The 27242-nt window shown below is 37.4% G+C and overlaps 1 pseudogene across 1 annotated transcript in view; it reads right to left on the reverse strand.

Annotated features, from left to right (window-relative positions):
* Positions 1-27242, reverse strand: part of OVOS2P (ovostatin 2, pseudogene) — an 89584-nt pseudogene that overhangs the window by 29408 nt on the left and 32934 nt on the right. The window contains exons 15-22 of the transcript NR_153414.1: positions 17827-17995; positions 16927-17011; positions 8256-8365; positions 7756-7914; positions 6836-7063; positions 5303-5357; positions 4351-4496; positions 3846-3995 (exon numbers count right to left, since the gene is read on the reverse strand). The product of NR_153414.1 is annotated as an ovostatin 2, pseudogene (transcript). The remainder of the gene's footprint in view (positions 1-3845; positions 3996-4350; positions 4497-5302; positions 5358-6835; positions 7064-7755; positions 7915-8255; positions 8366-16926; positions 17012-17826; positions 17996-27242) is intronic.

A 27242-nucleotide genomic window follows, 5' to 3' on the forward strand; every position in this document is an offset into this window, starting at 1 on the left:
CTTATGTGATGTCCTGAGGACTCTAGTAGAGAATGCACTTTTTAAAAATTGTTATTTATTTATTTCTGAGACAGGGTCTCATTCTCTTGCCCAGGCTGAAGCTCAGTGGTATGATAATGGCTCACAGCAGCCTCGATCTCCCAGGCTCAAGCAATCTTCCCGCCCCAGCCTCCTGGAGAATGAGCTTTATGTAACCAAAAGATGACTCAGGAAATTAGTAAGACTTGATGAATAGGAGAAACAATACAGAATGTAAACATTATATATTCTGACAAAAAAGGAAAGATGCAACAATAAAATGAGAGAAGAGGGAGAGAAAAGTGGAAACTAGAGATTACTGACTGTTGTGTAGGTAGCAGTTAAGACTCAAAGATTAAAAATAACTGACTAGATTTTTTTTTTTTAAATGGAGTCTCGCTCTGTCGCCCAGGCTGGAGTGCAGTGGCGCGATCTCGGCTCACTGCAAGCTCTGCCTCCCAGGTTCATGCCATTCTCCTGCCTCAGTCTCCTGAGTAGCTGGGACTACAGGCACCCGCCACCACGCCCAGCTAATTTTTTAATATTTTTAGTAGAGACGCGGTTTCACCGTGTTAGCGAGGATGGTCTCGATCTCCTGACCTCATGATCCACCCGCCTTGGCCTCCCAAAGTCCTGGGATTACAGGCGTGAGCCACCGCGCCCGGCCATAACTGACTAGATATTAAGGTTAAGCAAGAAAAAATGAGATTAGGATATTAGGATATTATAAAATATGTAAATATAAAAATAACCACTAAAATAAAAATTCAAGCTAGCCTGAATACTCAAAGAAGCTTTAAGCAAGATAACAACAAACAAACATAAAAGCTAAAGAAATAAAGTAGCTTTAAATACAATACAGAATCATAAGAAAAATAGTATGATAGAGCTGAGGCCTAACACATACATCATATCAATAGAGTGAATAGACTTTATTCTCCTTTAGAAGACAAAGATATGCATATTTAAAACAAAACATAATGCTGTACTTCATACAAAAAACAAGTGAAGTGCATATTTCAAAAGGTGAAATCCAAAGGAAAAGTAAAGGAAAATAATAAGAATGCAAAGGCTGCAATCCTCCTGTTATCGGAAATCGTAGAAGTAAGGCCAAAAGACATCAAACAAGATAGAGAAGAATACTTACTGCTAAAAGCTGCAATTCATAATAAAGGCACAACAGTTATGATTATCTATGCAGAAACTACAGAAGATGCAAGAAGAAACAGAGCACTATTTGTAGGGTATTTTAACACATCACTCAGCAGAAGAAGGTTAAATAAATTTTACAAAATAAGTAAGAATACAAAGAATCAAAATAATCCAACCTCATGGATAGAAAACAAACTGATAATAGAGACTATATCTTCTCAACACATGAGATATATTCGCAAAAACTCATTATATATTTGGGCACAAAAATATACCGGTGGAAATATTGCTGGCCATGAAGATATAGAACTTGAAATTTAAAAGAAAACTCTAAAATAAATTCCTTTTTATATGAAAATTATAAAGTACTCCAGTAAGTAAATTTTCAGTGAAAGGGTTAATACAAACAGAAATTACGGAATTTCTGAAAAATAAAAATGGTGCAATTGCTATGTATCAGGATCTATGAGATACTTCAAAAGTAGAAATCATGGAAAAACTTATAGGCTTAAAAACACCTAGCCCAATAAAATAAATTAATGAAAATGAAGTAAATTTCTAAGTGAAAAAGCTAAAAATAACAACAAAATACAGCACCAGTAAGGAAATAATAAAGATAAAAATAGAAATTAATGTGATGGAGTAGCAAAAAACCTCACATCATATTACATCACATTAATAAATTAAAATTATATGTTTTTGGAAAACTCGGCAAAATAGGTAAACCACCAACTAATCTAACAAGGAAGAAAAAGTAGCTATCTGCTTAGGAACAAAAGAAAAACAACTTCTTCCATGACTCAGTTTTCAGCCTCATTTTTTGTCCTTTTAGCATCGTGAATTGGGGTCCGGAGTTGTTTGTATTTTTCTTTCACAATAGACTGATGTATGTAACCTAGTCTCAAATGATTCAGAAAAAACTGAAATGGCATAAACTCTGTGTGTGTGTGTGTGTGTGTGTGTATGTATGTGTGTGTGTGTAGGGGTGGAGAGAGTGAGAAAGAGAAAACAAGTACGGTGAAATGTTCACAAACTGGTGAATCAGGCCAAGGGTCTACGGGAGTTCTCTGTGTAATTCTTGCACTTTTAAAAATTATTTAAAACTAAAAACTAAGCTTACATAGATAATACAAAAAATAACATAAACTTATAGAATATAAATTGGAATTCACTCATTTATAGAACTTCACTTGATTTATACTATTAATATAGCTATCAATAATAAACAAGGGCAACCTCTTTTGGCTCTGATATATTCTGAGACCCCTGAATAATGCCTCTAGAATTTTCTTTTTGAGGTCCCTTGATGGTCTTTTCTTGAGGCAGTTTTCCTAAGATATTGCCACCTCCAACTGTAGAAAGAATGAGCAGAAGCTATTTACTCTGAATCCATGAAACTCTCAAGGGAAAAAAAAGGAGTGTGTGTGTGTGTACATATATAAACATATATATGTACACACACACACACACACACACATATATATATACATATTCCTTTTTTTTCTTTGAGACAGGGTCTCGCTCTGTCACCCAGGATGGAGTGTAGTGGCACGATCTTGGTTCACTGCAACCTCTGCCCCCGCCAGGGCTCAAGTGATCCTCCCATGTCAATCTCCCAAGTTTCTGAGATCACAGGTGCACACCACTGTGCCCTGCTCATTTTTTATATTTTCGGGGGAGACAGAGTCTCATCATGTTGTGCAGGCTGGTCTCGACCTCGTGAGCACAAACGATCTGCCCGCCTTGGCCTCCCAAAGTGCTGGGATTACAGGCGTGAGCACAGCACATGGCCATATTCCATATTTATAGATAAATTTATCCTTTATTTGTTGATGTCCCCTCAGATTCTGAAAGCTTCTAACTAAAAGTATTTTTGCTCCCTGTAATAGAAAACTTAAATGTATTTATGTTTTGCATTGAGAAAAATGTTTTATATAATGATCTATAGTTATTCAATATTATTACTGAATTCTATAATTTTATACTTAAAACTGGACTTACTACAGAATGTTGAAAGCAAAATACAAAACTATTTTTTGGTGAGATCTCAAGTTTGTAAAATATATATGCCTTCAGAAAAGAGACTTGAAAAATTACAGCAAAACTATAAAGATGCCTAAGTGTTAGGACTATAAATGATTTTAAAGATTTCCTTCTTTATGTCTTTGTATACTTTGCACAAAGTACACAATTTAAATTAGATTTAAATATGATCATAAATTTCAATAGTTATTTATATGTAATTGTGTTAGAAATAAACGGAAAATATCCAACAATTGTTAAGCGAAATAAATTGGATGTGAACTTCTGGAATTCCAGGTCTGGAAATGTTTAAGAAAATACAATATCCATTTATAGATAATAACTTTACACTGAATCCAAGCATATCCTTGAACATAGAGATTTCATTTTATTCCAAGTTTCCACTTCTGTGATTACACCTATGATTTTTAAAAATCACAGTTGTAAAATTCCTAAACTGTTATAATTATCTATCAAATTCTGTATTGTTATAAGCATGCTCTTAGGATAGCCAAGAAAAATACGTATATAATCCACGAAGGAACAAAGGAAGAAAACATTCAATATTTTCAACATGTTCAAGACATCATCTGAAGGATAAGACTTCTGGTAGTCCAGAGAAACATGAAAAACGAGGAAGTCAGAGAGCTTACACTTTCAGCTGACAGCTGTTGTTCAGATTTCAGTAGAAGGACGTTCCCATCCACAGCCCCGAGGGCACAGAATAAGACAGGCGCCGCTTGAAGATAGAGACTAGCATTGGAACCAGGTAAGCCCTGCTCGTTAGAGAACTTTATGTTAACCTAAAGTAGAGAAAAAAAAGAGATGAGAGTAGAGACCATTTTATGTAAAGATGATCTGAATACATTTAATCTCTCCTGAATAAATCCTTATAGATTTCTATACGGTATTTCCTTTGCCCACTCTCACCCTCAGCTTTCTTTGCAGGAGACCCCCTTCACCACGTGCTGCCGTCTCAGGATTGGCACTGCTGCCAAGGATCATGCATTGTGTTTGGTGATTCTCACATCCCCTAATAATTCAATTATGCCAGCACTGAGTGTAAGTTTCCCACGTGAAGGTGATAGCAGTCAGGCGAGAAGACAGCAGGGAGCAAACTGTTCCCACTTCTCAGGCCAGAAATAGGAGAAACATCACCTTGTGTTTAAAGCACTTGTCAACCTGGAATCTGACACTGTCAGCCACAATTTCCCCACTGGGGTGAAGGGTGTAGACAAACAGGACGGCTGCAGGAGCCAGATCAGCACTGATGCTGAGTGGGAACGAGAAGTTTCCATTCCAGGCTGTGTAAATAGGAGACGAAGAGATACGATGCTGAAAGTTTCCTGAATCACTGGTACACTTAGATAAAAGAGAATAGCTCATGGACAGAAAGAGTAAATTGGGCCCTGTTTTCAAGACAAATAAATCAAATAATAGGAAGTACATACACAAATAAAGAAGACTGCATAATTTAGATAATAACAATACTGGGATTTTGTACACCACTTTTCTTTTTTTTATTTTTTATTTATTATTATTATTATTCTTTAAGTTTTAGGGTACATGTGCACAATGTGCAGGTTAGTTACATATGTATACATGTGCCATGCTGGTGCGCTGCACCCACTAACTCGTCATCTAGCATTAGGTATATCTCCCAATGCTATCCCTCCACCATCCCCCCACCCCACAACAGTCCTCAGAGTATGATGTTCCCCTTCCTGTGTCCATGTGTTCTCACCGTTCAATTCCCACCTATGAGTGAGAATATGCGGTTGTACACCACTTTTCTAATGTACTCAATGATCTGACAATAAAAGAAACAGTAGAACTCTCCTTCATCAGGACATTTAGTAGCTTCCCTCAGGCTGTGCTAACTATTCCCTTCATCCACAAATTGAAATAAGTGCTCGTTCTTCTTTTCACTATATATATATACACATACATATATACACACATATATATATACACACACACATATATGTTTGACTATATATAAATATATTTTCTTAATATATATAATCCCCATATATATAATGTCTATATATCCTTAACAAGAAAAAATGAAGTTAGAGCACATATTTTAAAATGAATACATTATGTATACCTTTGTTTCTGATTTCCTTTTGTCCACTGAGTAAGATAGCTCCTTTTACCATCATCTGTGTGGAACAAAGAAAACATAACATGCAATATATTATCTGATGTCATCATATTCTCATATTGAGATTAGGTAATTCATTACTTAATGGTAATTCTGTTCCATAAGATAGGGTAGCTTCCACAAGCAAATATTAAAAATAGACTTTGCGTAAGTTGGAAAAGAGCAGAGAAAGTGACTAAAACTGATTGAGATTCTATCATGTACTGGAAACTTTGTGAACTATGTGCAATGCACTGTGCAAAGTGGCACATAAAGCTCTGAAATTGTCAAGGCTGTCCGGTTTCAAATACGCCTTCACCTGCTCATTAACTTTGTGACTTAAAACATGATGTTTTACCTGTTTGCCTCTGTTCCATTATCTGTAAAATGGAGATATCTATAAGGCTAATTAAATGAGTTAACACATATACAATCTTTATAACAGTGCCTGACACAGAACACTTACCCTAAGAGGTAAGTCTTATAATCTCCAATTACACTGTACACCTGAGGAAGCCAAGGGTTAAAGAGTTCAAACAATCCGTCCAAGATGCACTAACTTGCATGCTAACTAGGAGAGGGTGGGGGATTCAAGTTAATGTCTTAATTTCCAGGTCTGTGTCTTATCACTCTTCAACAGGCCTTAGAGCAGAAGGCCCCAGTCCCCAGGCTGTGTACCGGCAGGTACGTATCCATGGCCTGTCAGGTACTAGGCCACACAGCAGGAGGTGAGCAGTGCGGTGAGCAAGCATTACCACCTGAGCTCCTGTCAGATCAGCAGTGGTATTAGATTCTCATAGGAGCACAAGCCCTGGTGTGAACTGCACGTGTGAGGGATCTAGGTTGTGCGCTCCTTATGAGAATCTAATGCCTAAAAATCTGTCACTGTCTCCCATCACCAACAGATAGGACCATCTAGCTGCAGGAAAACAAGCACAGGGTTCTTACTGATTCCACATTATGGTGAGTATGTAATAATAATAGAAATAAAGTGAACAATAAATGTAATATGCTTGAATCATCCTGAAGCCATCCCACCATCCCCACCCCATCTGTGGAAAAATTGTCTTCCATGAAGCCAGTCCCTGGTGCCACAAAGGTTGGGGGCTCCTCCTTAGAAAGACAAAATGGACAGAACCAAGAGAATAAAGTCCTTTTACTGCTTATCAACATAAGCTTTCCACCTTACTTTCTGGCATCTGCCCAATATTTTACTATTACAAAGTGTCATAAATACTTGATATGAGTTACATTTGAATGCTTAAACAAGTGGACTCTGAACAGCAAGTTCTTCAACCTTAGGGAAACTTTAATTGCCTTAGATCGTTCTATGTGTTTGTTTGTTGTTAATGGATCGAACAGTATTCACCAGCAAAGTGAGAAGGCTGCCCTTACTCTGGTCACCGTGGCATGACTGATGCATGATTTCTAAGCTGTGCTGGGCTAAGCAGACGTGCAATTGAACAGGATTCCAGGAACCCACTGACTGAGACTTACCAAATAGAAGAACTTTACATTGGAATCATCCTCATATGCTTCACTGTTTAGGGAGTAATGCACAGTAACAACCTTCTGGTGATTACATTCAAGCTGCTTTGGTTCTGGAACAATCTTCAGGAAGCTGTTCGTTCGGGAGTAAAAGCGTGAGACTAAGAAGTGAGCATCCAAGTACTGAGGCGTCAACCAGCTGGGAAGATAGCAGCTCTTAGGTCGAACATATGTGGCCTGAGATGACAAAAGAAAGTGAAGGGTCTTAGTATCATGACATCCGAAGACAGTTGTTACTGAGAATGGAGGCTTCTCAACTCTCCAGAGTAGGGAGGAATCTCAGCTTGTGGCTGACGTTTTAATGTTAAGTTATTGGAATCAAAATAATAATAGCACTCTGCTCTTTGTATACAAAACGTGACCATGAAAGATTGTGTAAATATTTCATTAGACTGATGGTGAATTGTTATGTTTTTTACACTTTAATTGAAGCCACAGAATTGGGTTTCAGTTCTGTTTCTTTCAGCTACATGTGAACACTGACAAATTATTTAACTGCAAAATTCTGTTTAAGCAGCGGAAAATAAACAGAAAGTATAGGATCTCCCCTATCTATGCATGAAATGATCTGAGGAAGAAAGTCAAATCATCCTCATGAGCTACTTCTTGTTTCCTAGAGGAAAATATTAGTTGTTAGCAAATTTATAACAATCGTGATAGACTTTTAGCTTCCCATCCCCTTGAACAAGTATTCTCATGTATTATTTAGTGAACAAGCAAATTTATAAAATAAGTTACATTTTAAATTTTCTTTAAAATAGATTCTGTATACAAGCTATCTTTTGAGATATTCCTAATGTTTAACATTTCTGATATCCAAATCCTCTGTGGGATGTCTAATGGTCTTCTTCTGTTCTTTGATGTCTTACTTTTAGGTTGAACTCTGGATCAAATATGTCTGAAGTGTCAATGGAAAATTGAGCTTCGCCATTCTCGTCCGTAGTATAATTTCCTATAAATTCATCATTGAGCTCCAGTTGCAACAACTTGTTCACCATAGGTACATTATTGGGATCCGAAAATTTAAGCTGTACAAGAAAAGAATAATTAATATGACTTAAAACACAAAATGTTTACATTTTTACAGAGAAATAGTTTTCTACTCATAAATGTGATCCCTAGTCATTTTCCTAAATTCCAACAGACAGAAAGATGCTCTATTAAATACATAGATATATAATATAAAGTATGGAAAAAATGATACTGTTATCTATTGCTTCTTTCAATCTAGGACACTTTCTAGCACCTCAGACATAGTAGTGCTTAAAATGTATTACAAAAGTAGGAAAAAAGTGACCAGAAATTTTCAAAGGGCAATCTATGATCCAAGAAAATGAAATGGAAGCATGTATTCTTTAGTCAAACCTACAGTTCCAAAATAAGAAATCCCTCTTCTGTAGAAAGTATCCATGTTCTCAAAGTTTACAGTTCCAAGCAATTGAGTGATAAAAACTGAGGTCTTCTCACTGATCTGCATACCTGTAAGGAATGATGAACACAGCAGAGTGAAAATATCTAAGTTACCATCCACAGCAATATAAATGTGACCAGCTTGCCCAGTGTGAATAGCATCATGATATTGATCAAGTATGCTTATATAGAGCACTTTACAATGGCATAATCACAAACTCCTTTTTAAATAACAAGAAATAATTAGTAGTTAAATCTGATTTTCCCACTCCAAATTAAATAATCTCTTTCTCCCTTCTTTCTGGTTTTTTTTTTTTTTTTTTTTTGAGACTGAGTCTTGATGTGTCACCCAGGCTGGAGGCTGGAGTGCAATAGTGCAATCTCAGCTCACTGCAACCTCCGCCTCCCGGGTTCAAGCGATTCTCCTGCCTCAGCCTCCCGAGTAGCTGGGATTACAGGCATTCACCATCATGCCCAGCTAATTTTTTGTATTTTTGTAGAGACAGGGTTTCACCATGCTGGCCAGGCTGATTTTGAACTCCTGACCTCAGGTGATCCACCTGCCTTGGCCTCCCAAAGTGCTGGGATTACAGGCGTGAGCCACCGTGCCCGGCCTCTTCTTTCATTCTTTTAACAAATACTTATTGAACACTCACTTTGTGCAATCTTGTAAATTTTTCAGTAATAATTTTTGCACTTGCAACTATTCCCAGTTGTATTAAATTAGAAATAATCTGAATTTTGTACTTAGTGCTAACTCAACAAGCTTCTCCCAGTAAGTTGCCATACATATATCCCCAGGTCGTCCAAAAAATACAGTAATTTCCTGTCCCAAATTCTGTAACAATTACAGCGACATGAAATGTCATGAACAATCCCGAACGGTAGAGTTGGAAGACTTTTGTATTTACAATTTGAGAAACACAACCATTTTCCAACTGAAAAATAAAGAGAAGGTATAATTAAAATGTTAGAGATCCAAGAGGTTTTTTTAAGTGTCTTTTAAAATATGGTTTTTGCACAAATATATTAACATCCCCACCCCGTGCCACGGCTCTACCTCATAAACTTGTTGAAATGGCCAAAGAATTAGAGGAGGAGTAGGAGGAGGCGAATATTTACATCAGCATTTTAAATAACGGAAGGAGGTAATCTGTATTTTACAGATTTCAAGGAAATTCTCCTGGAAACATTGTAGATGAGAAAAGATTAAAGGATGGAAATGAAGCTGAATGGTATTGTGAAAGGAAAGTAAATCTCAGGAGCCCAACATCCCTAAGCTAAAGGGAAAGGGCAAGCTGGGAACAGCTGGGCAAATCTGTCTCCCATTTTATTCCCAAATAAGGTAGCTACAAAGATAAAAACTACATACCTCCCTCACAATTTGCCCACAAGGAAATTCTTTGTGGGCCTCAAGAACTTTTCCTTAAAACAGTTCTTTGGAAATTCACCCTGGCAATATAAATTCATAGCTTATCTTTACAGGCGTGGGACAAAAGACAGACTCAGTCATCCCTCTGCTTACCTGAGACAAATACATATCTGATTTATCTGATTGCTTCCTCTGCCTAATAGTTTATGTAAAAATGCAGATTTACTGAGCCACACTAAGGCAGGAGTGACTATTCCTCTATCCTCCTCTCACATGTAATTTGTGTATTCAGTGAAAGGCTGATCAAAGACAAAGACTTATTCTTTTTTTTTTTTTTTTTTTTTTTTAGATAGAGCCTTGCTCTGTCACTCGGGCTGGGGTGAAATAGCCCAATCTTGACTCACTGCAACCTCCGCCTCCCAGGTTCAAGCGATTCTCCTGCATCAGTCTCTCAAGTAGCTGGGATTACAGACACCTGCCACCACGCCTGGCTAATTTTTGTATTTTTAGTAGAGATGGGGTTTCTCCACGTTGGTCAGGCTGGTCTCGATCTCCTGACCTCACGTGATCTGCCCGCCTCGGCCTCCCAAAGTGCTGGGATTACAGCTGTGAATCACTGCACCTGGCCTCAAAGACTTCTTCTTTATGCAACTGTTTGTCTCTTATCTACCTATGACCTGGAAACCCCCTTAGTTTGGATTGTCCTGCCTTTCTGGACCGAACCAATGTACATCTTACACATATTTGTTGATGTCTCACATCTCCCTGAAATGTATAAAAGCAAGCTGTAGCCCAACCACCTTGGGCACATGTTGGTAGGACCTCTGGAGGCTGTCATAGGTACATCCTTCACCTTGGCAACATAAGCTTTGCAAATTGATTGACATCTGTCTCAGATACTTTTGGTTCACAGTGTTTTAAGAGGAAGAAATTCTAATCATCTAGAAAGGCACTAAAACAGATGGAACAGAAGCGCTCAGCACATGTGTAACAACAAAACAAACACTTTTTAAGGTATATTGCTTATTTAAAATAACAAAAAATCTATAGTTAATCTATCATCAGTAATAATAATTAGAGAAATATAAATTTAGTTATATTTTATAACACAGTGTTTATTCCAGATTTAAAATGTTATAAGGATATATTAGTTTATTTGATACTCAAAACTATTACATGAGCTAGGTACTGTTATTATCTTACTATATAGATGAAGAAACTAAACTAGGTCCATCATGTAACCTGTCCAAGATCTCACAGCTAAGAGACGGTGGTGCTGAGGAGCTGCTCTGGCTCCAGAGTATGTGCTTCTCTATCTTAAATTAACAGCCATTACATCAACAACAAAAGCAATTTTATTTTGTCTAATGATAATATAGTCAAATTAAAATGAAATCATAGAAAGTGATCAGAAGAACCTTAATTATTTCGAAAATAAGAGAAAAGCCTTTTTTCAGGAATCCTTGAAACAAAGAGAATACATAAAGTAAACCAATAAGAATCCAGATATTAGAGTAATGAAAAAATACTTCGCATCAAAGTCAATGGTATTCAGCTGCAGTTCAGAAGAAATGTAAAACAGTGAATGTGCTTATTACTAAAAGAAACAGCTAATATATTTTTTAAACCCCAACAAAATCAACTACAAATATTAGGAAAAAGAATTAATAAGATGAAAGAGAAAATAAATTATTTAGGAACACAAAATAATAAAAGAAAGAAAATAGTAAAAATAAGAACCAATAAAATAGACGAAACTTTCGTGGGCATGATTTAGGACAAAGAGTGAGAGAGAACAAAATTGTGAGATAGGTGCTAACACAACACAGCCCACATCTGGAAGAAAAATTCCCATTTTAGAACATCATTGGAAGTGAACTTTATGTCTATTAGAAAATTGTAAACAATCTTAAGAGCATACTTAGATAGCCACATGTACAACACAGGGGCCAGTGAGATTTTTTTTCTAAGGCTGGAAACCCAGGAACATAAGGAAGGTGGGTATGTCAAAAATATGACAAAGTAAATGAGTTGCCTATTTAAATAACAGGCTTGAAAAAAAATGCTTGTAGGATGGAAGGCAGTACTTACCTGAAAGTTTCCATTTCACATGAACAGAAAAACATGGGTAATTAAGAGTTCTCAAATCCAAATTGATAACAAAAATATGAAAAGTTGCTCAAACTAAATCGAAATTAGATAGCACAAGTTAAAACAAGCTAAATTTGTGTCTATCAAAATGACAAAAACTTTTAAAACTTCTAAATATATTGCTGAAAGTAATTTGGAAAATATAGTATTCTCATGTACTTCTGACAGGAATTTGAATGCCTAAAACTTTTAGGAGAGCAATATGCTAATATTTATTAAAATTAAAATTATCTGTCTATGAACATTATCTATATTTCCTTTGACTCAGGAAACTCACTCTAAGAAATTTATTTCAAGTAAATAAAGCCTCTCATATATAAAGATAGTTCCACCGGACAGATTTTTTTTTTTTTCTTTTTCTGAGGCAGGTCTTGCTCTGTTGCCCAGGCTCGAGTACAGTGGTGCGAACACACTTCACTGCAGCCTTGACCTCCTGGGCTCCAGTGATTCTTTTGCCTCAGCCTCCCTGTAGCTGGGACCACAGATGTGCACCACTGTGCCTGGCTAATTTTTGTAGAGAAGGGGCTCACTATGTTGCGCAGGCTGGTTTCGATCTCCTGGAATCAAACGATCCTCCCGCCTCAGCCTTCCAACATGCTCAGATTAGAGGTGTGAGCCACTGCTCCTAGCCTCTACCAGATTGTTTATTGGTATTTTTTTCACATGGGGAAAAAAGTAAACCATTTGCTGAGGGAACACCCATCACTGTGTAAAACGGTTGACTGAACTCTATCAGAATGTACTGCTGACATGGAAAAATTCCACCCTAGTTTTCTTTGCCTGCATTTCCTATGTAAAGGTAGGATTCTGCTTGTCTTTGTCAATTATTGATATTTACCTAGAGGATGTTCACTAAATTTGATGAGTAACTTTAGGACAATTGGACTTAAAATATGAACTATGTGGCATACACAAGCTTCACTTTGGGGAGTCAAAAGACAATTTCAAAGAGATAGGAAGAGCTGTTCACTTAAGGTTAGGATGCTGCAGATAGAGCAAATGATGACTTCACATATGAACTGCAAGTCTAAAGTAACATAGTGGGGGTACTCTGAATTGCAGTTGATTGAAAGTAAGCTGTTTCCACTAAAAAAAATCCAGGTGGCATGGAGAGTAATATCACAGACTCATTTAAAGGATGATTAACGATTCTCCAAAGAAAAATCAGGAAGGCTACCTAGGCGATATATAAAACAACAAAGCCCACGATACCTTTCATATTCTAAAAATCCCATGAATCTATAGGTGGAGAACAATTTACATGGTCTATGGAATAAAAAACTGCTTTAAGCACTGTATTTTCTTCTCTTTCTTCACTTTATTTAGCTGCAAACTCCATTATCAATAAAATGAAAATAGTATTGTTAAGCTCCCCTTATAAATGAAATCAAAGAAAGAATAAGAATGAAAAATGAGTGAGAACTTTTTTTTGGAGTAAAGATCATGGTCTGTACCTGTGCAATAAATTGCTCACATATTTCATTGTCATTTTTCTCACAATTGCTTGAAGAAAAATACTCTCTGCACACCCGGATTTGGGTTTTCCCTTGCACAGGTTGGCCAAAGGTGTACCTCATGGGGGAAGGTGTAGTTATGATTACAGATAAGCAATATCATAGCAATATTTTATGATCTTCTTCAGAAATTATATAGGAAGTCTCTAAACTGTGAGTAACCCAGTCTAACCAAATTGAATTAGGAATTCTCCCTATTGGTGAGGGTTTAGGTTCCCCACAGAATTCAGGTTAAACTGGGCATTTGATCTCAGGAGGATTTGGCTGCCTTTAAAAAATTGAATTCAGGGTAAGGCAGAATCTAAAATAATCTAAAATCTCATTGAATATGATTTAATGCTTAAATTGAGTTTTTTAAAAATATATTTTAATCTGATAGAAACATCATAACATTGCAGCACTTTCCCTTTTATCAGAAAAATATATATGTATATAAAACTTGGATGATTCAGGATCCTGAAACATTTCCAGATCAACATTTTAAACACGAATTTTTATTTACCACTCAATAAATATAAAGGCTATGGGGCTGGCATGAACTGGTTATGCTTTGACCAAAAATATAATACCTTACAGGGTGGGTTTGAGTATCTCATTTTCTCCTAAAACACAAAACTACAACACAAGATTTTAAAGGTTCAACCAAAGGCAAATCCAGTCAATTGGAGTTTTTTGTTTTGTTAATAGACAACAAATGTAAAACTAGCATATAATAAAAGTGAATATTATTTTCACAGATTATAATACTTTTTTCTAATTGTTGGACACTGATATATATCATTTATTTTTCCCAGTGACCCTGATTTGTAAAATGAGGTCAAGTAACTTCTCCACATTGTAATTAATGAAACTAAAATTCGAACTCAGATCTACCTCACTCCATAGCCCGTGCCCTTTTCTTTCCACTCACCTTTTTCTCTTTCTATTTAAAAATTCCTAACACTTTTGAGATTCTGAGTCAAATCATACCAATAAAATCATGATTATATAAAGGCCAGACTTAGATCTGGCCACACATATTATACCTGAACATTTCTTCTTATTTCTACTTAATGTCTTTTATTTATACAATAAAAGTCTTATTGTAGTATTATCTGTAAGCTAACATATGCCTATAAGACATGTAGCTTAAATTTTAAAAACAGGACAGAATAATCCCTTTGTGATTTGAAAAGCTTTCAGTGAATGCTAATGCAGTGTATTAAAATCTCTTTGTCTGTAGGTAAATTTTCTTCCCTCTTAAAAGCCTAAGTCATCTCTGACTTTGTTTGCTAAAATAATCCAATTTTTTTCTTGTTTTCTCTAGTCATTCCAAGCTAAATCCCAGAAAAGACTAAAGAAACACAGACACAGTATCATACAATTTGAGACACAGTATACAACTGACGTGAACCTTCTAGAAACAGTGCTCTCACAATCTGCCCAGAAATAACTTTGTAGCAAGCACAGCTCCAGTCTAGCTGCCTGGTCTCCTGGCAAGATATTATTATTGCTGATACTGATTTACTCCTATGTAACTCTATCCAGAATACAATATCAAAGAAATTTCAAGAAATCAGGATCATGGATTGTAACCTGACATACTGCTAAGGAACTACCAGTTCCATGTTAGCATGTGGTTTGCAAGTATTTTCCAAAGGCCATGCTTGAGAAACATTTTTGTTCTTCCAATGTGTTGTGGGTTTTGTTTTTAGCATACTATCGTGCAGATAAATAAATGAGATGTTAATGCCACTGAAAGCTCTGGCTTTGCGTTTGGCTTTTCTAGTGAAACCTGTTTAGTATTCTGGATTTCTTCCAACTTGAATTTATCACCTCATCATTTTTAACATCAGTGATCTACACAGTCTCTCATCTATTACGTATATTAAATTCTGGTATTTTCAACTACTCTTCATTAAAACTTAGAAAAAAATTTATAATCATTTCCTAAAGTCAAAAGAAGATTTGAAATGCTACTGAAAAAAAAAAAAGAAGGCTGAAAACTGGTTTGCAAGATTCTCTGGGGCATCAAAGGCATCTTAAGAACCACGCTTGCACGTTCATTAGACAGCCCTTTAATCAATGTATCTTTAATAGACTGCTGGAAATACTCAAAGGCAAGTAATTTTCATGTCATAAATTAAACAAAGTGCTTAACAAATATGGCAAATATTAATATTGTTAACTGTTTTTATAAAGTATATGACAGTTATTGATTAGGAGAGTAGCTTTGAAGCTGAAAAACCTAGGTCTAAATCCTAGTTCTGCCATCAACAAGCTCCATTACTGTTGATAAGTTATTTTAATTCTCTGTGTCTTATTATCTTTCTTTATAAAATACAGATGACAATAGCTCCTATCTCATAGCACTGTGGTAATGATATATGCAGAGCTTAACAAACTAGTTGACATTCAAAAAACATTTATTTTATTTTTTATTTTATTTTATTTTTTTCTGAGACAGAGTTTCACTCAGTTGCCCAGGCTGCAGTGAGGTGGCATGATCTCGGCTCACTGCAACCTCTGCTTCCTGGGTGCAAGCAATTCTCCTGCCTCAGCCTCCCCAGTAGCTGAGATTACTGGTGCCTGCCACCATGCCCGTCTAATTTTTTGTATTTTTAGTAGAGACGGGGTTTCGCTATGTTGGCCAGGCTGGTCTCGATCTCCTGACCTCGGATGATCCCTCCCCCACCTTGGCCTCCCAAAATGCTGGCATTACAGGTGTGAGCCACCGTGCCTGGCCAATTGTTTATAAATTATTATTAGAAATTCGAGAAAAGGCACTAAAAAAGAAAAAAAAATTAAAAATAATTTTCCAAAAACAAAATACAAATTTCTGAAATCGTGTATTTTTTTTACATTAAGAGAATTCAAATAATTCAGATTAACTTGATAAGATGCTTTGTCTTCACTTTGCCATTTCAATAGCTCATATTCTAATTTTAATGAAAATATGCCATGATAGTAAAGATTCAATGAGAATTTCACACCAGCTGCTAGAATCCTACACTGGCACAACATGTTTAGTGAGGAGTATGGCAATCAGAAGACTAAAAGAATGTTACATATTTTGTCTTGGTAATTCCTTTTCTGGAAATCTTTCTTAAGTAAACAATTTTTCATTCAAAAGCTACCTATTATATGTTATACACAAAGACATATACTGCAAAATTATTAATTACCAGGAAAACAAAATGAAACAGCCAACATATTATATAATAAAATAATTAAATTGGGTATAGTCACATAAAAATATGTGCAGCAGAAAATTGGAATTCATGAAAAGATTGGCATAATACGTAGGCATGTTTTCTTAATTATTATAAATAGAAAAGTATGATTGCAGTCATGGAAAATATTCATTAAAATTAGAGGAAACTTACAATGTTAGTGACATTACAATGTTAATGGCAGTTGGTCAAATTAATAATAGGTAATGTCTTGTGTTTTTCTCTATATTTTTCAAATTTTCTACAGTGAGGATTCATTGCTTCTCTAATAACATTAATGTAAGCATATAAATAATTAAAGTTTCATGGTTAATCTCACTTCTCATTCTCTCTGAGCTTTGTGTTTTCTTGTGAAGGTAAATCTCCTGAAGAAATACTCACTTAGCACATACATCCACTTGGAATTCATCATCTGAAATAGTTACTGTTTGTGGTGCATTGACCGTAACTTCAAACTTGGGCAGCACTGGAAACGAAGAGAAATATACGTTAGCCTGCACAATCACAGGCAAGCAAACCTTATTGCAGTCATATAGCTTACTATGATTCCTTGTACCCTCCATCTGTATGAGCTATGTATCATTTGCCCCAAATTGTGTGGCACCATTCTACATGGTGGTGTCTCACTAATGATTAATTCTTCCTCTTTCTTTTCTTTTCCCTATCCTCAGAATTTCACATTTTGTTTCTTTTTGTTTGTTTGTTTGAGACGGAGTTTCACTCTGTTGCCCAGGCTGGAGTGCAGTGGTGCAATCTTGGCTCACTGCAACCTCTGCCTACAGGGTTCAAGCCATTCTCCTGCCTCAGCCTCCCGAGTAGCTGGGATTACAGGCATGCACGACCACGCTGGGCTAATTTTTGTATTTTTAGTAGAGACTGGGTTTCACCATGTTGGTGAGGCTGGTCTCCAACTCCTGACCTCATGATCCACTCACCTCAGTCTCTCAAAGTGCTGGGATTACAGGCGTGAGCCACCACACCCGGCCTCACATTTTCTTTCTATTGCAATCTCTTAGATCTCTCCTAGAAGACTGTGGGGATTCTAGAAAAAATGTATATTTTCTAGGGGGAAAAAGAAGGCAGGAATCAGAATAAGGATACTGGGGAAGGAGTGAGGAGCAGCAAAGTGCTGATGACAAAGCCAACCAGGTCAAGGAAGGGAGACAAAGAAAACCAGTTCTAGCTTCACCTACTCCTGCCTAAGTCTAACACAAATGTTGTGTTGGTCCATCCTTTAAACTCTTCATCTACATAGGACAGCTACAAATAGCAACTGGTTACCATATCTTTTAACAGCAAATTGGTGTGTCACTGTCTTCCTTGAGTTTCTTTTCACAACAATCCAGTAATCTCCAAACATTGGTTCTGAAATCAGTTGGAACGAGAGTTGGGTAATATTTCGGAAAGAAGTCACATTTTGCCATTGAAAAATCCGATTGTTTTGAGGATCCTAGAAAATAATGAAAAAAATATAAACAATCAGAATTTGTATGAGAGTATTACCCTTTGCTGCCATATTTCGGATAGTTTCGGATAGTTTCACAAGGGTTATTTTAGGCCAATATTTTCTCTTATGAAACAAACAAGTAGCTTTTGGTAGAGCCTGTGAGGGCTTAAGAACCCTAATGTCTATAAATCTTAGAGGATTATACACTATGCTTTGGTCATACAAACTTGTACTGCCTTTATTCTTTTTTCTTTTTTTAAAGTATTGTAATTGTACATACTTAAAGGATACAATTGGCGGGGCACAGTGGCTCACACCTGTAATCCTAGCACTTTGGGATGCCAAGGTGGGCAGATCACTAGAGCCAAGGAGTTCAAGACCAGCTTGGGTAATATTGTGAAACCCCATCTCTACTAAAAATACAAAAATTAGTTGGGTATGGTGGCGTGTGCCTCTGTAATCCCAGCTACTTGGGAGGCTGAGGCAGGAGAATCGCTTCAACGTGGGAGGTGAAGGTTGCAGTGAACCGAGATCATACCACTGCACTCCAGCCTGGGTGACAGAGTGAGACTTTGTCTCAAAAATAAAAAAAAAAGTGGGGGGGTACAATTTGATGTTTCAATACACACACACACACACAGACACACACACATATCTATATATTTAGTATAATGATCATATTGGGGCAGTGTTACCAGTACTTCATTCATTTATCTTTTTTTTTTATGGTGAAGACATTCAAAAACCTCTCATCTAGCTATTTTGTAATTTGCTAAATCTTACTGTAAACTATTGTCATCCTACTGTGCAATAGAACACCAGAACTCATTCCTTCTTCATTCTTTTCAGATTAAATAAAATTTTAAAACACTTGTAGAGTGTCAGATGTGTTCCAAGGACTGATCCAAGTGCTCAAGGCACAAAAATGTATATGACATGTTCACAGCCCATATTAGCTTAAAATTTTAAGCCACTGTGCTCCTTGTTATTATAGTCATATAATTTTCTTGCATTATGGCTGCAATTCACATTCTGTAATCAGGGTATAGATGTCTAAGTAAAGTGTTGGCTTAATAATTGTTGTTCTAATCAAATTGAATTACACGTTAACAAAACTTACTTAAATTTTCCTTGTATATTTAATTCTATCTCTTCCCAGGCCAAGTCAAAAAAAATATGAACCCTTGGAAGAATTACATCTAGAAGTGACCAGTCCTAGTCTAAATATTTAAATACATAACATGAGGAATTCAGGCCAAAAGTTTATTCTGATAGGTCTATTTTTTGATGTACTAATAAAACTGGCCATCTCTGCTATAGTTTTGCTAACTTGTTGCAGAAGTAATCTCAAGAAGAAAACAGCCCTATTAGATTATGTTTAGGATGGATAGTTCAATATATATTTTGCCAAAATGTTATATTGAGTTTACACAAATAAACACACACAAGCTGTCATAATAAGTTCATTTAGCAACTGTTTTAGGATAGATTTTTATTCTGGAAGATCCATAATGAATTATATTTTATATGAAGACAGGGCTACCTTTTGCGTCAATATTTTGATATTGAAGAGTGCTGGTACATCAATAAAGTACTTGTATAGTAAACAAATTAAAGATGTTTTGTGAACTAGCTAGGCCTTGAAGACTCACAGGGCTTGGTGTGTAATACTGTCATTCTTAGAGATAATTAGCTCCAGGTTGTTCTTTCTGCTGGAATTGTGAATTGCAAATCCATTCTTATCAGAGTGAAATCAGAACTTCAACCCTAATCAAAATTGATTGGATGAATTATTGAGTGTTACAAAAGTGATGCAATGAAGGGCCCTCATATTTTTGACATTCATTTTTATTAGATCCTTCTTATCTGGAGATTAGGTATGTGAGAAGCTCGGAGAAATAATCTTAGAAGAGCCAAGCAGAATTTTTATATCTAAATCCATGTTACTTACATAGAATATATTGTTCTTTAAATATAAAAATCTATAAATCTGTACAAGACCAATCGATACAAGTAAAAAAAAATGTCTGATCCTGCTTGAAGTAAATTATCAAAGCCATCTACGTTGAGAGATGAAATGTATTACGTCTCTCCTGCTAACTTGAGGAGTAAAGGAATTTACTAAAAAGTTACTAGGATGTTTTTATTCCTTTTCTTTTTTTTTCTTGCAGTGAAGCCTGTAGATCCTTAAGATTCTTTACCAGTTGTGTGGTCTTAATTTCACAAATTGAGGAATCTGATCCATAGATGGTTCCACTTGAACGTGGTGGGAGGGTAACATTCTCCTTCCATGAAATGTAAAGACTGCATTGTGGGACATGGAGGGGCTCCATGAGATCCATTTAGTTGCATTCATCCTCCTGTCCCCAAAGTATATCAGTAAATGTACTGTTTCTTGACAGTTTGGCTGTGTTATCCCAGAGGACTGGATGTGGGAATCTCCAAATGGCCAGATAATACTCTCAGCTTCCAATTCAGTGAAACTATTCTTAAGCATGTTAATGAAAATATACTTCTTTCCTGGATCCTAAAAGGTCTAAATGAAAACAACTCCTATTCCTGAGGATGGAAAACAAGTATTCTGCAAAAGCCACTACCAATCCGTACCTTGGTTCCCAGACATATCTCTAGAAGAGACAGAAACAAGCCCTTTAATATAATTTCATTCCTCAACTTCCTTGGAATTAGTCCCTTAATGTGTCTTGTTCTAAATCCCTGATCATCTTGCCACACATTTGTTAAGGCTTATAAAAGAGTGTACATCTTTACCTCAGGCCATTTGTAGACTTGTCATATACTTTGGTAATTTCCCAACATATGCGTTTCACTTCCAGTAAAGAAGTTAGAAGACTCCATTCCCAGATTACCTTGAATCCAGGGGGCAGGTAAATGACAGGCTCGACCAATGAGATGCTCTGTTCTGAGACTGGGAATCAGAAGGGAGTGAAATGGGGAGGCCATGGAAGAGTTTATTTTCAGGGAACTGTGAGTATAATGGCAACTTCTAGTTCATTTAGGATAAGATAGGCAGAACCTTTTCACATCCACTCCAATGTGTTTATTCCACACACGAGGAGCCACAGTGGGAATTCTGATCATTGCTAGACTTGTCAATTATACCTACACATTTGGAAAATGAATAAATAACCAGAAGATGGATCTGGTCTCTGTTAGTCCTACAATGAAGACAATTTGGCCCCAAATTCTGGTTATTCCTGATAGTCATAATCTTTGCCTCTCATCTCAGATGTTATTAGTGAGGTAATATTCAGTATTTTATAGAATATTTAGATATTTATCTTTCCAGGAGCTCATGTGCTTTGGTAATGAGGCAGAATGTCTTTGAGAAAGATAGGAGTGAGACCTTAGGGATGGGTGTCTGCCTAACTGAAGTGGACTCCAATGAAAATTATATAAATATCAAGGCATGAAAATTCAGCACTCCCTATCACGCACTGGTGAAAAAGATAATCAAATAATCTCCTGTTCACCATTGACAAAGTGCCTATTGACAGCAAGCATTTGGGGACCACAAATTTCCACTGCTATGGAACGATACCAGGCTGATCACTTCTAAGAGTTCTGAGAAAATTAAAGAAAAGAAAAACAAGCTAGGAACTTTAAATTAGCCCTTACCATCCGGAGTTCTGTAACAGAATTATCTCTAAGTCTCCAATACAGCTACTGAATGTAATGAATTAATATTACATTTATTGATGCATAAATAGTACCATTCTCTCCTATGTATCCTGAATGGTACTATTTATGCATCAAATGGTCTCTCGAAACATTCTCTGTGGAGTTAAACAATAAAGCAATTTTCTTATATAACAGTTGAGAAAGGTTGCTCTAAATTTTTGGTTGAAGATATACATTGAAAAGTGAGTACTTTCAATTTTTATGTTAAAACTCTCATTTATTGCAGAGCAGTTCTGTAATCAAAATGCCTCATTATTGTATGTGCTTAGATAGAGGCTGATAATTTACCTGTGAGGGATTTTTTAAAAAATTACTGACTGTGGAGGGGAGGAGCCAAGATGGCCGAATAGGAACAGCTCTGGTCTACAGCTCCCAGCTTGAGCGACACAGAAGACGGTGATTTCTGCCTTTCCATCTGAGGTACCGGGTTCATCTCACTAGGGAGTGCCAGACAGTGGGCGCAGGTCAGTGGGTGCGCGCACCGTGCGCCAGCCAAAGCAGGGCGAGGCATTGCCTCACTTGGGAAGCGCAAGGGGTCAGGGAGTTCCCTTTCCGAGTCGAAGAAAGGGGTGACGGAGGGCACCTGGAAAATCGGGTCACTCCCACCCGAATACTGGGCTTTTCCGACGGGCTTAAAAAACGGTGCACCACGAGATTATATCCCGCACCTGGCTTGGAGGGTCCTACCCCACGGAGTCTCGCTGGTTGCTAGCACAGCAGTCTGAGATCAAACTGCAAGGCGGCAGCGAGGCTGGGGGAGGGGCGCCCGCCATTGCCCAGGCTTGCTTAGGTAAACAAAGCAGCCGGGAAGCTCGAACTGGGTGGAGCCCACCACAGCTCAAGGAGGCCTGCCTGCCTCTGTAGGCTCCACCTCTGGGGGCAGGGCACAGACAAACAAAAAGACAACAGTAACCTCTGCAGACTTAAATGTCCCTGTCTGACAGCTTTGAAGAGAGCAGTGGTTCTCCCAGCATGCGGCTGGAGATCTGAGAACGGGCAGACTGCCTCCTCAAGTGGGTCCCTGACCCCTGACCCCTGAGCAGCCTAACTGGGAGGCACCCCCCAGCAGGGGCACACTGACACCTCACACGGCAGGGTATTCCAACAGACCTGCAGCTGAGGGTCCTGTCTGTTAGAAGGAAAACTAACAAACAGAAAGGACATCCACACCAAAAACCCATCTGTACATCACCATCATCAAAGACCAAAAGTAGATAAAACCACAAAGATGGGGAAAAAACAGAACAGAAAAACTGGAAACTCTAAAAAGCAGAGCGCCTCTCCTCCTCCAAAGGAATGCAGTTCCTCACCGGCAACGGAACAAAGCTGGATGGAGAATGACTTTGACGAGCTGAGAGAAGAAGGCTTCAGATGATCAAATTACTCTGAGCTACAGGAGGACATTCAAACCAAAGGGAAAGAAGTTGAAAACTTGGAAGAAAATTTAGAAGAATGCATAACTAGAATAACCAATACAGAGAAGTGCTTAAAGGAGCTGATGGAGCTGAAAACCAAGGCTCGAGATCTACGTGAAGAATGCAGAAGCCTCAGGAGCTGATGCGATCAACTGGAAGAAAGGGTATCAGCGATGGAAGATGAAATGAATGAAATGAAGCGAGAAGGGAAGTTTAGAGAAAAAAGAATAAAAAGAAATGAGCAAAGCCTCCAAGAAATATGGGACTATGTGAAAAGACCAAATCTACGTCTGATTGGTGTACCTGAAAGTGATGGGGAAAATAGAACCAAGTTGGAAAACACTCTGCAGGATATTATCCAGGAGAACTTCCCCAATCTAGCAAGGCAGGCCAACGTTCAGATTCAGGAAATACAGAGAACGCCACAAAGATACTCCCCGAGAAGAGCAACTCCAAGACACATAATTCTCAGATTCACCAAAGTTGAAATGAAGGAAGAAATGTTAAGGGCAGCCAGAGAGAAAGGTAGGGTTACCCTCAAAGGGAAGCCCATCAGACTAACAGCGGATCTCTCGGCAGAAACCCTACAAGCCAGAAGAGAGTGGGGGCCAATATTCAACATTCTTAAAGACAAGAATTTTCAACCCAGAATTTCATATCCAGCCAAACTAAGCTTCATAAGCAAAGGAGAAATAAAATACTTTACAGACAAGCAAATGCTGAGAGATTTTGTCACCACCAGGCCTGCCCTAAAAGAGCTCCTGAAGGAAGCGCTAAACATGGAAAGGAACAACCGGTACCAGCCGCTGCAAAATCATGCCAAAATGTAAAGACCATCAAGACTAGGAAGAAACTGCATCAACTAACGAGCAAAATAACCAGCTAACATCATAATGACAGGATCAAATTCACACATAACAATATTAACTTTAAATGTAAATGGACTAAATGCTCCAATTAAAAGACACACACTGGCAAATTGGATAAAGAGTCAAGACCCATCAGTGTGCTGTATTCAGGAAACCCATCTCATGTGCAGAGACACACATAGGTTCAAAATAAAAGGATGGAGGAAGATCTACCAAGCCAATGGAAAACAAAAAAAGGCAGGGGTTGCAATACTAGTCTCTGATAAAACAGACTTTAAACCAACAAAGATCAAAAGAGACAAAGAAGGCCATTACATAATGGGAAAGGGATCAATTCAACATGAAGAGCTAACTATCCTAAATATATATGCACCCAATACAGGAGCACCAAGATTCATAAAGCAAGTCCTGAGTGACCTACAAAGAGACTTAGACTCCCACACATTAATAATGGGAGACTTTAACACCCCACTGTCAACATTAGACAGATCAATGAGACAGAAAGTCAACAAGGATACCCAGGAATTGAACTCAGCTCTGCACGGACCTAATAGACATCTACAGAACTCTCCACCCCAAATCAACAGAATATACATTTTTTTCAGCACCACACCACACCTATTCCAAAATTGACCACATACTTAGAAGTAAAGCTCTCCTCAGCAAATGTAAAAGAACAGAAATTATAACAAACTATCTCTCAGACCACAGTGCAATAAAACTAGAACTCAGGATTAAGAACTTCACTCAAAACCACTCAACTACATGGAAACTGAACAACCTGCTCCTGAATGACTACTGGGTACATAACGAAATGAAGGCAGAAATAAAGATGTTCTTTGAAACCAATGAGAACAAAGACACAACATACCAGAATCTCTGGGACACATTCAAAGCAGTGTGTACAGGGAAATTTATAGCACTAAATGCCCACAAGAGAAAGCAGGAAAGATCCAAAATTGACACCCTAACATCACAATTAAAAGAACTAGAAAAGCAAGAGCAAACACATTCAAAAGCTAGCAGAAGGCAAGAAATAACTAAAATCAGAGCAGAACTGAAGGAAATAGAGACACAAAAAACCCTTCAAAAAATTAATGAATCCAGGAGCTGGTTTTTTGAAAGGATCAACAAAATTGATAGACCGCTAGCAAGACTAATAAAGAAAAAAAGAGAGAAGAATCAAATAGACGCAATAAAAAATGATAAAGGGGATATCACCACCGATCCCACAGAAATACAAACTACCATCAGAGAATACTACAAACACCTCTACGCAAATAAACTAGAAAATCTAGAAGAAATGGATAAATTCCTTGACATATACACTCTCCCAAGACTAAACCAGGAAGAATTTGAATCTCTGAATAGACCAATAACAGGAGCTGAAATTGTGGCAATAATCAATAGCTTACCAACGAAAAAGAGTCCAGGACCAGATGGATTCACAGCCGAATTCTACCAGAGGTACAAGGAGGAACTGGTACCATTACTTCTGAAACTATTCTAATCAATAGAAAAAGAGGGAATCCTCCCTAACTCATTTTATGAGGCCAGCATCATCCTGATACCAAAGCCGGGCAGAGACACAACCAAAAAAGTGAATTTTAGACCAACATCCTTGATGAACATTGATGCAAAAATCCTCTATAAAATACTGGCAAACCGAATCCAGCAGCACATCAAAAAGCTTATCCACCATGATCAAGTGGGCTTCATCCCTGGGATGCAAGGCTGGTTCAATATATGCAAATCAATAAATGTAATCCAGCATATAAACAGAATCAAAGACAAAAACCACATGATTATCTCAATAGATGCAGAAAAGGCCTTTGACAAAATTCAACAACCCTTCATGCTAAAAACTCTCAATAAATCAGGTATTGATGGGACGTATCTCAAAATCATAAGAGCTATCTATGCAAACCCACAGCCAATATCATACTGAATGGGCAAAAACTGGAAGCATTCCCTTTGAAAACTGGCACAAGACAGGGATGCCCTCTCTCACCACTCCTATTCAACATAGTGTTGGAAGTTCTGGCCAGGGCAATTAGGCAGGAGAAGGAAATAAAGGGTATTCAATTAGGAAAAGAGGAAGTCAAATTGTCCCTGTTTGCAGACGATATGATTGTTTATCTAGAAAACCCCATTGTCTCAGCCCAAAATCTCCTTAAGCTGATAAGCAACTTCAGCAAAGTCTCAGGATACAAAATCAATGTACAAAAATCACAAGCATTCTTATACACCAACAACAGACAAACAGCCAAATCATGAGTGAACTCCCATTCACAATTGCTTCAAAGAGAATAAAATACCTAGGAATCCAACTTCCAAGGGATGTGAAGGACCTCTTCCAGGAGAACTACAAACCACTGCTCAAGGAAATAAAAGAGGATACAAACAAATGGAAGAACATTCCATGCTCATGGGTAGGAAGAATCAATATCGTGAAAATGGCCATACTGCCCAAGGTAATTTACAGATTCAATGCCATCCCCATCAAGCTAAGAATGACTTTCTTCACAGAATTGGAAAAAACGACTTTAAAGCTCATATGGAACCAAAAAAGAGCCTGCATCGCCAAGTCAATCCTGAGCCAAAAGAACAAAGCTGGAGGCATCACACTACCTGACTTCAAACTATACTACAAGGCTACAGTAACCAAAACAGCATGGTACTGGTACCAAAACAGAGATATAGACCAATGGAACAGAACAGAGCCCTCAGAAATAACACCGCATATCTACAACTATCTGATCTTTGACAAACCTGAGAAAAACAAGCAATGGGGAAAGGATTCCCTATTTAATAAATGGTGCTGGGAAAACTGGCTAGCCATATGTAGAAAGCTGAAACTGGATCCCCTCCTTACACCTTATACAAAAATCAATTCAAGATGGATTAAAGACTTAAACGTTAGACCTAAAACCATAAAAACCCTAGAAGAAAACCTAGGCATTACCATTCAGGACATAGGCATGGGCAAGGACTTCATGTCTAAAACACCAAAAGCAATGGCAACAAAAGCCAAAATTGACAAATGGGACCTAATTAAACTAAAGAGCTTCTGCACAGCAAAAGAAACTACCATCAGAGTGAACAGGCAACCTACAAAATGGGAGAAAATTTTTGCAACCTACTCATCTGACAAAGGGCTAATATCCAGAATCTACAATGAACTCCAACAAATTTACAAGAAAAAAACAAACAACCCCAACAAAAAGTGCGCAAAGGACATGAACAGACACTTCTCAAAAGAAGACA

Source organism: Homo sapiens, chromosome 12 (genome assembly GCF_000001405.40).
Source record: "Homo sapiens chromosome 12, GRCh38.p14 Primary Assembly".
Classification (NCBI taxonomy): Eukaryota; Metazoa; Chordata; class Mammalia; order Primates; family Hominidae; genus Homo; species Homo sapiens.